Genomic DNA, 15,461 nt, shown 5'->3' on the forward strand with positions numbered 1-15,461 from the left:
CTGTGACTGACTTGCAAAATGATAGGGACAAAAATTGAAGTCCAGGGATCATGAAGGGTTAGGATACCCACACACTTTGTGCTAGAACTCTGAAGGCCCTCCTCCATCCCCTAGTGTGGTAAGGCTGATGTAGTTGGAGCCCAGCTGTCGCAGGGACTTACACCAGCCTCCAGTCACTTTGATCCAATTTTAGTGACGGCAGTGATTCCAGATTGCTAATGCCACTAGTTGTGTGCTAAAAACAAATGTAAAAAATTACATTTGTCCTTAAATGATTGATTTTTTTCAAATGAAGCTTATTGAGGTACAATTTACATTCAGTTAAATTCCCCCTTTTTATTGGACAGTTCTATAAATTTTGACAAATGCATACACTAATTTAACTGCCACTATGATAAAGATATGGAACACGTCTGTCATCTCCCAAAGTTCCCTCATGTCCCTTTGTGATCAATCTGCTTCCTCCACACCTTGTCCATGGCAATTACTGATTTAATTTTTGTCACTATGGTTTTGTCCTTTCTAGGAAGTTGTATTAATGAAATCCTGCAGTTGTTGCCTTTTGAATCTGTGTATTTTCACTTAATATTGTACATTTGAAATTCATGTCTGTGTTTGCACAAAGCAATCATTTGTTCTACTTTGTCACTAAGTAATATTCCATTGTATGGATGTACAACAGTTTATTATTCATTAGCTTGTGGATATTTAAATGCTTTCCAGTTTTTGGTATTTTTAAACAAAGCTGATAAATTTGTTTTTGTACAGGTTTTTGTGTGAACACATACTTTTATTTCTCCTGGGTAAATTCCTAGGAGTGGGATTATTGAAGCATATTACAGTTTAAATTTAAACTGTTTACTGTTTTTCCAAAGTGGTAGTATATCATTTTGCCTTCCTACCAATAATATATGAGAGTTCTGGTGGCTTTGCATACTGGCTAGCAGTTGGTGTGGTCAGATTTTTTTTTTTCTTTACAAAAACAGAAAAACAGCTATTCTAAATATGCAGTGGTATCTCTTTGCAGTTTTAATTTTCAATTCTCTCATGACTAATGATGTTGAATTTCTTTTCATTTACTTATTTTCTGTCAGTTTGTCTTCTTAGGTGTTCAAATCTTTTGCCCATAATTTTAATGTTTTGCTTGTTTGTTTCCCTATTTGGTTGTGAGAGTTCTTTATATATTCTGAAACAAGTTTTTTTTTTTTTTTTTTATCAGATATAGGCTCTGAAAATATTTTGTCTTAGTCTATGGCTTGTCTTTTCATTGTCTTTTCAAAGCCTTTGAAAGAGTAAAATATTTAATCTTGATGAAGTCCTATTTATCACTTTCCTATGGTTTCTGCTTTTTATTGCTCTAAGAAATCTTCACCTAACCCAAGGCCACTAAGGTTTTTTCTTATGCTTTCCCCCTCAAAATGTTACAGTTTTAAGTCTGTGATCCTTCCAGTTAATTTTCATTCATGATGTGATATATGGGTTGAGGTTTTATTTGCATACAGCTGTCCAATTATTCCAATAACACCTACTGAAAATACTAATTTATTTATTGAATTGCCTGGAACCTTTGTTGCAAGTCCATTGACCATATATGTGTGGGTCTATTTCTGGACTGTTTGTTTAGTCTGTTCCATTGATCTTTTTCTTTGTCTTTTCACTTTGTCTCACTGTCTTAATTGCTGTAGAGTTTCAGTAGGTTGGGTACTATTAGTTCACCCACTTTGATTTTTTCCATTTTTTGGTGGGGAGTGTTATTCTTTCTTTGCTTTTTCCATTCAAGCTTTATAATTAGCTTTTTGATTGATTTTCTTATGAAAAAGTGCATTGGCATTTTAACTGGGATTACATCAAATCTATAGAACATTTTTGGAGAGAATTAGCTACTTAACAATATTGATTTTTCTAATCTATGAAAATTGTTCTGTAGTTCATAACAGCCAAATCTTACGTATATTTTGTTAGATTTCTCACAAAGTATTTCATATTTTGATGCTACTGTAAAAGGCACTGTTTTATTTAATTTGTTTCTAATTTTTCATTGCTAGTATATTGAAAATAATTGATTTTTATATATTGACTTTGTCCCCAGTGATCTTTTGAAACTTACCCACCAGTTCTAGGAGCTGTTTTATACATTCCTTAGGATTTTTAATGCAGACTGTCATGTTATTTGTGAATGGAGGCTGTTGTATTTCTTCCTTTCCAATCCAGATGCCTTTTATTTCTTTTTCTTACTTATTGCAGTAGCTAGTACCTGCATTGAACAGAAGTGAAAACATTGGCCTTTTTTGCCCTAGTACTAATCTTAAGGGGAAAGCATTCAGTATTTTGCCCTTAAGTATAATGTTAGCTGCATGTTTTTAAAATCAATGTATTTTTAGTTGAAGAAGTTTTCTTCAATTCATATTTGACTGAGAAAATATTTTTTAAATATCATTAACATATTCAATTTTGTCAAATGCTTTTTATGCCTCTGTTGAGATTATATAGTTTTTTTTTAGCCTGTTGATATAGTAAAATATATTGATTATTTTAAAACATTGAACCTACTTGGCAATGTATGGGATACATTCCACTCGGTCCTGATATATTATTTTTTCCTATGTTTCCAGGTTTGATTTGCCGGTTGTTTTGTTGAGAAATCAATTAAAAATAATTGTTCATATACAATGTCTGGTATTTAATAAAAATAACTATACTCATAGAAATAATTCAGCTTGAATGAAAACTAAGAAGAATTACAGACAATGAAAATGCACTCAAAAGGACTCTTAAAGCATTAACAGATACATAATTTTAAAATCTACACATAATATCTTCAAAATAAATGAAAGACAGGATTTGAAATTTTGGCAGAGAGCTGAAGGGTTGTGAATCTGTACCAGTTCTCTTAGCTCTTTACCCAATAGCTTGTTTGTGCTAGCCTGCTAACATTCCTCTAACACAGGCGAGGTGAGCCTGATTTATATGAAGATGAGGCTAGCCAAGACTATTCCAAGGCAATGCGGGAAAGAGACAACAGCAGAGCTTAAAACTTTGCCTCTCTGACAAATCCCCTCCTATCTCCTGACTTCTACTCCCACGTACTCTATAACATCCTGCCACTATACACATAATCAACACAAATAGATATTAGTGTCCCTAAAAGACTCTGAAGATTTTAAGATTTGGTGTTATCTTTCAGTTTCTGTTTTATTTCCCTTCAGAATTGGTCTTGGCAGAGGCAAAACAAGATGAGAAGTGTACCTTTTGTAGTTCCTGCATTTTCTGCACATATGGGCAGGAATACTTTTTGTGCTTTCACTAAAAGACAATGTGAGATATGGATGTTTTATTATCACAATGATTCCTCCTCTTTTCTCTTTATTATTATCTTTCATACTTGCAAATTGTTTGCTGAGAACTTTTTTTTTTTATTTTATGAAATTCGGGTTGAATATGCCTGATTGTAAAAACTCTGCTATTTGAATGTTTGTTCAACTTTTATTTTTACATCCTTGAAAATGGGAAAAAAAATCTAACATTTACTGATGAAGAAGTGTGCTGTGTTTATAAAATTCCAGGAAACTGAGATTGAATACAGCACAGTAAACTAAAAACAGAAAAAATAGAATTGAAGAAGAAACAGTAAGAAAAAGAGCATGCATAATGATCAAATAATTCACTAAGTAATCTAGATAATCAATAATCTAATAACCAGATAATTAGTTGTGGTGTTAATAGCAGTTTTAATATCGTGTATACTATCAGATATAGCATTTGTAATATACCATGTGTAATACACTACTTATGTATAGATGTTCCACTGCTACTATCAGACAAAAGGGAATTTAGGCTCTGTGACAGTCAGGAAGTTATGCCTTCCAGATTTTCCTTCAAAAGAACTTGCTGCCAGGGGAGGAGGTGAGATAATTGACTGCTAGCCTACAGCTGTTGCATCTTCTGATCCCTCATGGGATTCATGCCAAGGCCATTCATTCTGAACTGCACCCAGCTAATGCCTGAGCATGGGGAAGGTATTAGGGCAAGACTATTTCTGCCCAGTATGAAACTCCTCTAATGGATGCCCTGGAGAACATCACATGAAGCCATTTCATCGATAACATCATGCTGATCAGGTAGGATGAGCACAAAGTGGCTGGTGCGCAGGAGGCCAACTTCAGAAAATGATATTCTAGTTCTACTGCTGTGGCTCTGAATTTCTCAGGTCTCTTTATAATTCTATTTCTACTTCATACTTTGAAATTCTATGGGTTTATTACTGATTATTTTCTAAGTAGATCATTTCTATCTGAGTAGCTTACAACCTTGAGCACCACAGTCCACCCCTTGGGCCATGCAGATCTACTTCTCCATGAGAGTTTGAAGAGCAGTAACTCTGTATTTACCTTGAGCCCCTTTTCCTGAGAAGGAAACAAACTGCATATTGAAAGCCAAAGGATTTATAGAAAATTGTTAACAAACTAAGTAATAGATCATTCTTACTTTAAATCCATTATTTCAGTGACTAAAATAAAAGGAATACAAACACTACCAGTATTAATAAGCATTAGATTCAGCTGTATATGCCTAAAAACCTTAAAGACACAGCAGCTTAAACAAGATAGAAGTTCATTACGTACAAATACACATACACTTTTCATGGCTGGCATGCCAGGCCAACTTTACAGTGTCTTCAGACAGCCAGGTTCTAATCTTTTTCCACCACCATCTTCAGTATATGGGCTTCCATTTTCAAGATCATATTATGGCTCAATATGGCTGGCGGAGCTCTAACAATCATATCCAATGTGCCACACACAGAAGGAAAGGAGAAGACTTAAAGTCCACACTTTCTCTTTTAAGAGACCTTCCTAGAGATCTCTTGTAGCCCTTCTGTTTATATCTCTTTGACTAGACCCAAAGCCATTATATCACGCTTCAATATTGTCCATGCATAACGTCATGAGAAGCATTTCACATAAGAGCACAACAGCCCTCCTGGAGCTAATGGCATGGTCACACCTAGGTAAGAGTGAGCAGAAAATATGCTGGAATATCATCAGAGATCTCCTATCAAGAAAGAAAGAAAAAATACAGATTGAGAGAGATATTATGAAGTAAGTAGATCTCTCTGCTGTACTAATCAAATTATTTTCTGAAACTAGTAAAACTTTGATGCAAAGTTGATATTACTTAGTTGTTAACAAAATCAAAACTGAACAGGACATACAAGAAAAGGAAATGTAGATACATTATACTAATGAAAATGCATGCAAATAAAATATGAGGAAAACAAATCTATCTCATAGTAAATAACAATAAATAATATGGCTTTACCAGTGAAGGTTTGTCCTAAGAATTCAAGCACCAATAATAAAACTCACCTCATTAAGTGATTAAATGATATGAACCATGAGATAATTTTAATATATACAGAATTTTGGGGTTAAAATAAAAGTGATTAATCTTTAAAAATATTTGCAAACTATGATTAGGAAGTGTTAAAGGATCTCTATTAAAAACCTATAACAGACATTATACTTAATGGTTAAACTTGAAAGCACCCCCATTAAAAGACAGATAAAATTAAATATACCAGTTGACACAATTCAACATTTTTACAAAAGCTCTAGCAAAGGTACAAATATGAAAAAGAGGAATAAGAATTTAAAAGAGAAAATGTTTAATAATTTCTGTTTGATATGATTATATACATATGAAATAGAATCCTAAGTGAAGAAACTCAGAAATGGAAAACCAAACACTGCATGTTCTCATTTATAAATGAGGACTAAGCTATGGGTATGCAAAGGCATGCAGAGTGGTGTAACAGACATTAGAGACTCAGAAGGGGAAGGGGTGACAGATGAAAAATTACTTATTGGGTACGACGTATACTATTTACACTAAAAGCCCAGACTTCTCCTCTATACCATTCATCTATGTAACCAAAAACCACTGTACCCCTAAAGCTATTGAAATGAAAGAAGGAAAGGAAAGGAAAGGAAGAAAGAAAGAGAAAGAAAGAAGCTCTAAAGATGAGTTGTGAGAACTAAAGTGAAAATTTAGTAACTGTGCTGGAATCTAGGACCAACATTCAAAAATCAAGAGTACCTCCTTAGGAACCCATTAACACCCAATATAATAATTTATCAAAGAAAGCATACCATTGATAATAGCAACATATATTTTAAGATAAATATACATAAATATAACTAAAAATGCATAATACATGAATAAATTTTAATATTTTATTTTAAAATCATAACTTTTTAAAAGCCTGAATTAATAAAATATAAGATGCTCATGATGGGAAGACTTAATGTTTAAGGACTACTTTTTCCCCAAACTATAAAATTAATGTACTTCAAGGAAATGCCCATGTATTTCTCCTTATCATTAACATGACAAGCTAATTTGAAAATTCAGATGGAGGAGTAAGGGCCAAGGCAATCTTGAAGAACAATAAGGAGAGATAATTTCCCTAGGAGACATTAAGACATATCAAAAAGTTATAGCAGTTATGACATTCCAGATGATAGTATAGACATATAGACAAATGGGTCAAAATAGAGGACTCAGAAATAGAATCATACTTAATTAGGAAATTATTATTTGAGAAAGATAGAAAAATTATTATATATTCACTAATTGATGATGGGACCATTGTCTATTCATATTGAAAAATTAAATACATTCCTACCTTGCACAAGAACAAAAATAAAATTAGGTAAAGACCTAAATTTGAAAGGGAAAATTTTGAATTTTTTAGAAAGAAATAGAAGAGAATGTCTTTATGACCTTGGGATAGAGAACGCTTCCTTAGGTATGGTTCAAACACCCCTTACACAAAGAAAATTACTGATAAATTTTACTACATTGAACTATTCTTCAGTACGACACCAGAAGCAAAGTTAAAGGTAAGTTACATGCTGGAAGAAGGTATCTGAAAAATGTAGAAGCAACAAAAAGACAGTATCTAGAATACAAAGAATAAACATAAGATTAAAAATGGGTAAATGTTATAAAAAAGTAGTTCACAGAGCAGACAACTAGAATGATTCCTATATATATACTCATATGCATAGATAGATCTAACCTCATTTGGAATCAAATAAAACTGAAGCAATGATGTCATATCCATGATGTTAGCATATATTTTAAAAGTGTGAGAACACACCAATTGTTTGCAAGGATGGAGGAAATTTGAGTTTCCAGATGCTGCTTTTTGGAATTTAAATTGGTACAATTATTTGAAGAGTATTTTGATAGTATCTAACAAAGTTGAACAACAGAAGAATGCTTCCAACCCAAGAATTCTACTTGTTGGTTTACATCCTAAAGGAGTTTCCTATTGACACTCCAGGGTGCAGGACCATGCCTTTGTTCAGTGCAGGATGTTCAGGTTTCTTGGCCCTTGGCCCCTGCCCCTCTATCCAGTAGCAACCTGTGTTGTGGGGTCCATTGTGTGCCTATCCCCTAATTCATATGGTGAAGTTGTAACCCCCAGTACCTCAGAATATGACTGTATTTGGAGAATAGGGTCTTAAAGAGGTATTAAGTTAAACTAAGGTTATTAGGGTAAGGTCTGATCCAACATGACTGGTGTCCTTATAAGAGGAGGAGACAGGCACAGACATATTACAGAGGGAAGACCACGTGAAGACACAGAGAAGACAGCCTCTACAGCCACAGAGAGAGGCCTCGAAAGAAACCAATCCTGTAGACACCTTGATCTCGAAATTCTAGCCTCTAGAATTGGGAGAAAATAAATTTCTATTCTTTAATCAACCCCAGTTGTAGCACTTTGTTATGGCAGCCCTAGAAAACTAATACTTTGTCATCGAAAGAATGCTTCTTGCCTTTCCAAATGCTCCTGGGGTGGCACTGCCATGCTTGAGAAACTCTGCTATAAATGATTCCTATCACAGCACATGTACACTAAAAAAACATGATTTTTATTATAGCTGTTAAAATGAACAAACTCAATTGTATATGTTTCATAACTGAGAAATCATCCAAACATAAGACTGGATAAAAAAAAATAAGATGCAGTAGTATAACATATATAGCATGTTATCATTTATGTAAGGTGTAAACATGAAGAAAAACTCCACGTGTTGTAAATCTATAAACATCTGGCAAAATATAAACACCTAGGTGGGGAGTACTTGTACCGACTCTGGATTTCTGGTTACCTCTGGGATGAGGGAGAAGAGAATGGGGTGAAGAGCAGGCTTAGGAGGACTCCAAAGGGGCCTAACTGCTTCTGCAGAATTTTATTGCTTTTAGAAAAATGTAAAGCAAATATGGCAACATTTTGACATTTGTTAAATCTTGATAGTAGGTAAGTGAGTCTGTGTTAAGTTATTCTCTTTAGTTTTCTGAATGTCTTAAATCTTTCAAAAAAAAACCAAGAAAGAGGTAATTCTATATTTTGTTATTATAAAACAATCCAGATTTAGAAACACAGCTTCCTTCCCATCGAGGAATTTACTTTTAAATTATAGGTAATAGCTGGGAAATTTTGGAAGTTATTTGGGGGATACGGTTTGTTGCATCTCCCCTCATTTACTCCTTCCCCTTTGTTTGAACTCCAGCTAATCCAGCAATTCATGTGCTTGCATTCTCTGCAGCTGTGCACTAATTCTAGACTAAACCCCTCAAATTAGCAATGGATAATAATACACTAATTAAAACTGGAACACAAAGCAGTTTTTCCAGAAGCTATGTGAAAAAACTCACTGATTATTATCTGTGTATACTATAACAATTTTAGAGGCTCATTACTGAAGCTTAGAAGGAAATACACTGAGATAAACATGTTCAGAGTTGCTTCTTGAGTAATATTGATTTTACTTCTCAGCTTTGGAATGTGCACAAATGTCACTATTTCTGTATCTCCTGCCTCTTCCTACCAAAAAAAAAAAACAAAAAAAGCTCCAGAACAAATACCTCAAAACAACATAATAACCACAACAAAGTAAAATAGATAATACATTTAGAAAAAACTTAGTATTTGGAGTACAAAATGATCTCCTCAAGGCTATTTACTTATGGATTGTAAACCAATTTGACATTTGCCTGGTCCCAAGTAGATGAAATGATATGAGTTTCCTTCTTAAAATTAAGTAATTCTAAGTTACATTAGTTCTTTAAATTATTGAGCAATAAAGATAACTGAAAGTATGTATTTCTCTGTCTTAAGACAGATGAATAACTCTGAAAGCCCTTAAATATTTAGAATTATGGAGTGCTTATATCCTTGCTAAACCAAAATAAAATGACATATGACTTAGCCATATAATATTATACTTAGTTATCTGATCATTATATTATAACGGACTTAAAAATACTTAGAATTAACAAAGTTTATGCTTGTTATTATGTTATATATAAGAGTTTCCAGGTTCACTGAACTGCACCTCAAGAAACATATTGATGCATTCTCTAACTACATTTAAATCACTGTGTGTACAAAACACTTCTTATTCTCTGAGCTTTAATAGCTATCTGTAACATAAAAATGTTAATATGCCTTTTCCACTCTTATTTTTTCTGTTCAAAACCGTTTAGGAGACTGGCTTCATTGATTATAAAATGATCTACAGGAGCCTCTGTTCTTGAAAGGAAGGGGAGAAGAGAGGAGAGAGAAGGAAGGGGAGAGAAGAGAGGAAGGGAGGAACTGGACAAGAGCTGTTTGAAGGAGTCCAGGTAAAAGAAGACTGTAGCTGGTACCACATTGTTAGTAGTTGAGGTAAGAAGAGCGAACAGACTGACGGATAGGATGGAGAAAGAACCAACAGGTCTGTGTGTTGCTGATATGTTTGTGTGGGTGTTGGGAAGTCATGAAGAAAGAAAATAGAGAAGCCTAGGATTCTTCTGAGACTTGCTTTGAACAAGTGGGTGGATATAAGTTATTTACCAATTTAGGAATGGTGAGTAAAGAGAAGTTTTGGTAATGTGTAAATAAAGAGCTGTGTTTTGACTTATTTGACACTCATTCGAGAGGTATTTTAAGCATTCATGTAGCAAAATCAACTAAGCAGTTGGATATTTGGATTTGGAGTTATAGGAACAGGTACGGCTAGAACTCTAGATTTGGGAGTCATCAGTACAAGATGATATTTAAAACATGTGCTACTCATTAGGTCACCCACAGAAAACCTGTAGATAGTGAAAAGAAAGCTCAATATGTCAAAGAACTATAATGTGACCATGCAGTGCCTAGATGAGAGTGGCTAAATTGGAAAGGAGTAAGATTGAATGGATCATATAGTGTGGCTTGCCCATTTAGCCACAGAGTCAGTGTCTAAACATCCTGACTTATTGAAGAATTTAGAAAAGCATGACTTTTCCATAAAATGATATTTATGGTCTCTCAATACAGAGGGGAACTTTTTCCTTGTGGACTTTAAATTTCCCTGAATTACATAACACCAGAGATCAGTGGTCCTAATTTTGAATCAATTTTGGCAATAATTTAGATGGATCTTGTACTATCCCTTTTCTGGCTTGCAGGAGACTTTGTGCCTTTTGAAGTAATATGGCTATTATTTCTCTCTTGTCAAGTGTGCAATAGGTATTGCCACACATTAGTGAACCACTGAACCTAACCCATTGTATCTTTCTGTCATGTTAGCATTAATGGCAAGTGTGAGCAAGACCCCTGGGGAGGACAGGCTTTGAGGACAATTTGGATTAATATGCTAAATTATCTAAAATAAATAGGGACTCCATGTGTAATTTTCATTTCCTAAGCCCTGCAACAATTATAGTTATTCCACTGAAATGTCTGTAGCAATGAGATCAGTGACAAAAATAGTGCTTGAAAAACAAGAGCAGAAATGGCAAACATGTTATTTATTTGCTTAAATCCATTATAATGGGACTGGCAGTGTTAGTCTCATTAACAGAGGGACCTTTCTTTCCACACGCCAGCTGGAATAATAAAGGCAGCTATGTGACATTTAAAATGCAATTGCTCTGCTATCTGTAGATGATTCTGTTTCTGATACTTACTGATCACAGAGGAAAGAGATCTGGGTAGAATGTAAACCGTTTTGTTCATCATCTGCATTCCCAACAAATATAGCATTAGGGTTAAATGCTATAATATGGCAAGAAGGATATGCTGAAAAAGTATTTATGTCAGAATGCTTGAACATCTATTTGAAGCAATTCATGCAATTGTTCTTTTGCCATGTGACCAACCAAGAGTTGGTAGAAATACATCTGTTGTGTTTTTCTTGAATAGGCAAAAATAAATTATAATTAGGGAGATACTGCTTTGTGCACATAAATATACTGCATCTTTTGAAATTAGTTGTTCCAAACAAGTGAAAAGGATGCAGATTTCCCTCTTTGAATACTTAGTGAATGCAGGCTCATTTTGATGCCTTTGTTTTAATGATGAAGTGATGATCTTGAATTGAAACATACCTGTAGAGGTTAGGCATCATGTGACAAAGTAAGTTTTGGGATAAATTTAAGAATCTGATTTATTCAAAATTCTTTGCATTAAGGATTTGTTTTAAACCTCAAATAGGCAAATACTACTCAGTGATTTTCCATCCCTTCTTAACTGTTCCAACATGGATTCCAAAATGAGGGGTTTTAGGGGGGATTTTTGAGGCTTCCATTTTCTCGGTCAGATGAAAAAATTAGGAAACTCAGAGGCAAATAATGGCCTATATAATATATCACTTGGGTGGCCAAGCTTCTCCAGACCTCCAAGGTTCAGGCTAGAATTTTAATGGGTTCCCATCTTACTTGACCCAATTCATCTGTTTCCACTAGGTATCTTTATCCTTTACACACTAAAACCATGGAATGAACTGTAAATCATCAGATTATAAATTTTTATTCTGACGTTTTTAGGAACTACATTTATTCCACTTTTCTGTGTATGTAATGAGGTCTTGCTAGTTTTTTATTTTAGAGGCAAACAGCTATGCAATTTTGACTCATATGCATAGTAACAAAGCCGGAATATAAGTCCAGTTTTCTATGTAAAAAGCTATACTCCAATATTATTAGGATTATGAGGAGTATATAGTTTTTTAATCCCTCTCTCTCCCCTCTTATATATATACACACACACACAAATACACACCACTTACACTCAGTATTGCTGAAATTAAAAGTTAGATAGAATGCCTCAAAAGTAAGATAAAAAAGAAAAGCAAATAGCATTATTAAGAAATGAGCAGAAAGAGACTACCTAAAAGAAGAGAGTGTCTCTCATTCTCCAAAGCCTTTCTCTCTCATCCTATCTCCATACTAAGATTAAGAGATCATTAGGGGTCCATTTCATCCCCTTTGATGGATCAATTTCATTCGTCCAACAAACCACATACAGCTGACTCTGGATTGAAAAGCATCTGCTGGAGCCAAATTCTTGAGGCTTATTTTCCCAGAAACCGGTTGGAGAGGATGCTTCCTACCATAGAAAATCACAATAAACTATGCTCCCCTTGTGAATATTCACAACACATAGCTACTAAAAGCTCTAAAAAGCTCTGCTGTAAACCCTTTTAACTACTTCTAACATAGAGTTTCTTAAATATATCTCACCAGAGAGCCTTTAAAAAATTACTCCTTATTAACATCTACCAAGCTAAATGTTGGACTGGAATCGTGATTCTCAAACTTTAAATTAGGATAAGAATCAACTGGGTACATGTTGGGTACTTGTTAGAATCTTAAAGTCCCGGGGTCTACTTTCGCAAAGTCAAAAAGCCTCATTTCCAGCAAGCATTCAGGTGGATTCTGATGAAAGATGTCCATAGACCACAATTTAAGACACACCATCCTGAAAACTAAACTGAGGTACTCTTAGTAAAAGTCAATGCTGAGGTAGGCTCTGACCATGTAACCACACTGGTCTTTACTGGGCAATATGGGAGCCATTCTTATTCTACTCAGAATTACACTCTGTGTTACAAAAGGAATTATCATTCCCGATGGCAAGAATGTACCTTCAAGGAATGGTGGCCTCCCTTAGGCTGGTTGGTCCCGGCCCCCCAGTTATGCTTTCAACAAACATTTGTCATTTACCTTCTACGTGTTTTACAGTTTACATATTCAATCAAATTGTACTCGAATGGCATTGTACATGATCAGTAATATGCAGGAGATGCACAATGCCAGAGAAAAGCAGAAATGGCATGCCACTTCTGGATATGGTGTGATAAAGGAAGTCTTTACAAAGGAGGTAAAACAGAAACCGTCTTGATTTTAGCAGACTGAGCTAAGAGGAAATGTCTTCAGGCCTAGGGACTATGTGAGCGTATAGTGTGTACTAGGGAAAATATGGGTCAGGGCTCATTTAGAGTAACAGTAGATGTGAGAGAAGCCTGGAAAAGCAGTTTGATGGCAGATTGTAGAGAGGCAATAATTTTCTCTGGAATATTTGCTAGACAGTGAGAATTTGGTAGAAGACGGGATTTTAGGTCTCTATTGAGATTAATGTGATTATTGAATTTAAATACAGAGATATATGAGAATTGTGCAGAGCATTCCTAAGATAAAGGGGGTAGTTACTCTGTATGTTACCAAATGATACTGTTCTCAGTGATTTAAAAGAACAGGAGAAGGAAAAGTTAGACCACTAGTATTTTTCTACTCAGGTTTAAATTGAAAAACTATGGATTAGGTAACTCCTTGAGAACCTTTCCTGTCTCTTTGGCATATGAATAGCTATCTTTATGATGTGGTTCTTCTTGAGGATGTGAAATGTCTCTGATATAGCAGATTAAATGTCCTCCGAATATTTATTTATTAAAAACCTTGTGTGTATAAAGAGTGGGACTCAATACAGAACTAGCATTGCAACAAATGATCTATTAAAATTAAAGATTTTTAATTTTAGGCACAATGAAGTGTTATATTCTGTCTACTGTGTTTTAATTTTAGGAATTCTTTTTAATGCAGTGAATTATTCTACTGTTTGAGGATCTAAATATAAAATTCAGTGATATTCATGAAAATCTAATTCTAAGGCAATGAATATAGTGGAAATGCAAAGTACAATAAAACTTGATAGAAAACTGAAACACAGCCATTCTTTTGAGAGAAGATATGGAATAACAGTGGACCATATTGAAAGTATAATCACTAAGACCGCTTGGTGTACTAAAATCGACAGTTGATTAGAATGAATAATTAGGAAATACACTGACTTTTATTTTGCAAATAAGACTTGGAAATTATTAAATCATGGATTCATATTTTAGATACTAGAACATATATATTTTATGATAGATACAAAAAAGCACAGTTTACATCCTGGGAAATGAGCTAGTGATGTGTAATTAAAATAATACCTATCAATATAGCTCTAGCTAAGTGGCTGATAGTTTTTAGCTATTATGCAGTCTACTGCTGAGAAATTGATTAGGTAATTGCAGAATGGATCTAATTCAATTGCTGATTGAAATAATAAAATGAACTGTTTCCTGAGCTGGTCATACTGATGATCTTTTAACCAAATTAATTGGGTTATGCATTAATTACCAATTGTTTTACACTCCAACCCTCTACCTCCATCACATACACACAATAGATCTACTTGGTTTTCTAGATTCAATCTTGGTTCTTAGAAAATATACTTCATCTTGAAAGAAGATACGGCACATTTGGAAATATAGGTGGGCCTTGGAGCCCTGCATAGTAAACATGGATATGATTATAAAGCACTGAGCTTACCACCTGTTACAGATTAAGAACAATCATTATTAGCTATTGCTATTAATATTTTCCTTAAAGAAAAAGTTATGTGACAAAACAAAGCAATTTGGTTAAATATAGAAAATTGGATTTTAAGAGCCACCTATTCTAGGAAACCTGTTCGGCTTGTTCACATCTACTTTCCTTCCAATTCCTTTATACAACACAAATAAGAAAAACCAACATAGGTCAAGATCAAAGAATCCCGCTAACACACCCAATCAGTGCAAGTATATACTCAGCAAACATTTCCTCTCCCTGTGTATGCGATGGTTTGGCTGCTCACTCACAGTAAGACAGTAGAGGGTAATGGTATAAATATGGGCTCCGGAATCAGACTGCCTGAATTTGAACCCTGGCTTCTCTGTTTATCAGAAAATTACCTAATTCTTCTGGGCTTCAATTTCCGTTTTTGAAAAACAGAGATAAAATAGTACCTTACATGATGGTTGTGAGGACTAAATTAAAATTAGCCTTGGACATAATAATTACTCATAAAATGTTAACTTATTATGTTTATTATTATTATAATGCTTTTTCTTCAGAAAATATATGTTTGGAATATGATGTTATGAATCCATAGTATTCATGAATTTTCTCTTCGACCAGATATAAACATTCCTTACTCTTCAAGTTAGATTTTTATCAAGGAAAAGTGAAGCTGAGGAATAAGCAAATTCTGAATGATTTTTGTTCCCGTAATTATTTAACATTGCTAATTCAAAGCCAAATTTTGAAACTGGAGCCTG

General features: G+C 34.2%; 2 long non-coding RNA genes across 2 annotated transcripts in view; one reads left to right on the top strand and one right to left on the bottom strand.

Annotated features, from left to right (window-relative positions):
- LOC124901056 (uncharacterized) overlaps positions 1–15,461 on the bottom strand; it is an 891,204-nt gene that overhangs the window by 10,123 nt on the left and 865,620 nt on the right. The gene's annotated exons all lie outside the window — the stretch shown is intronic.
- Positions 4,044–15,461, top strand: part of LINC02240 (long intergenic non-protein coding RNA 2240) — a 108,967-nt gene continuing 97,549 nt past the window's right edge. Inside the window, exons 1-2 of the long non-coding RNA NR_109887.1 lie at positions 4,044–4,118; positions 9,559–9,739. This is a non-coding gene — a long non-coding RNA (long intergenic non-protein coding RNA 2240). The remainder of the gene's footprint in view (positions 4,119–9,558; positions 9,740–15,461) is intronic.

The sequence above is a fragment of the Homo sapiens genome, chromosome 5 (genome assembly GCF_000001405.40).
Source record: "Homo sapiens chromosome 5, GRCh38.p14 Primary Assembly".
Taxonomy (NCBI): domain Eukaryota; kingdom Metazoa; phylum Chordata; class Mammalia; order Primates; family Hominidae; genus Homo; species Homo sapiens.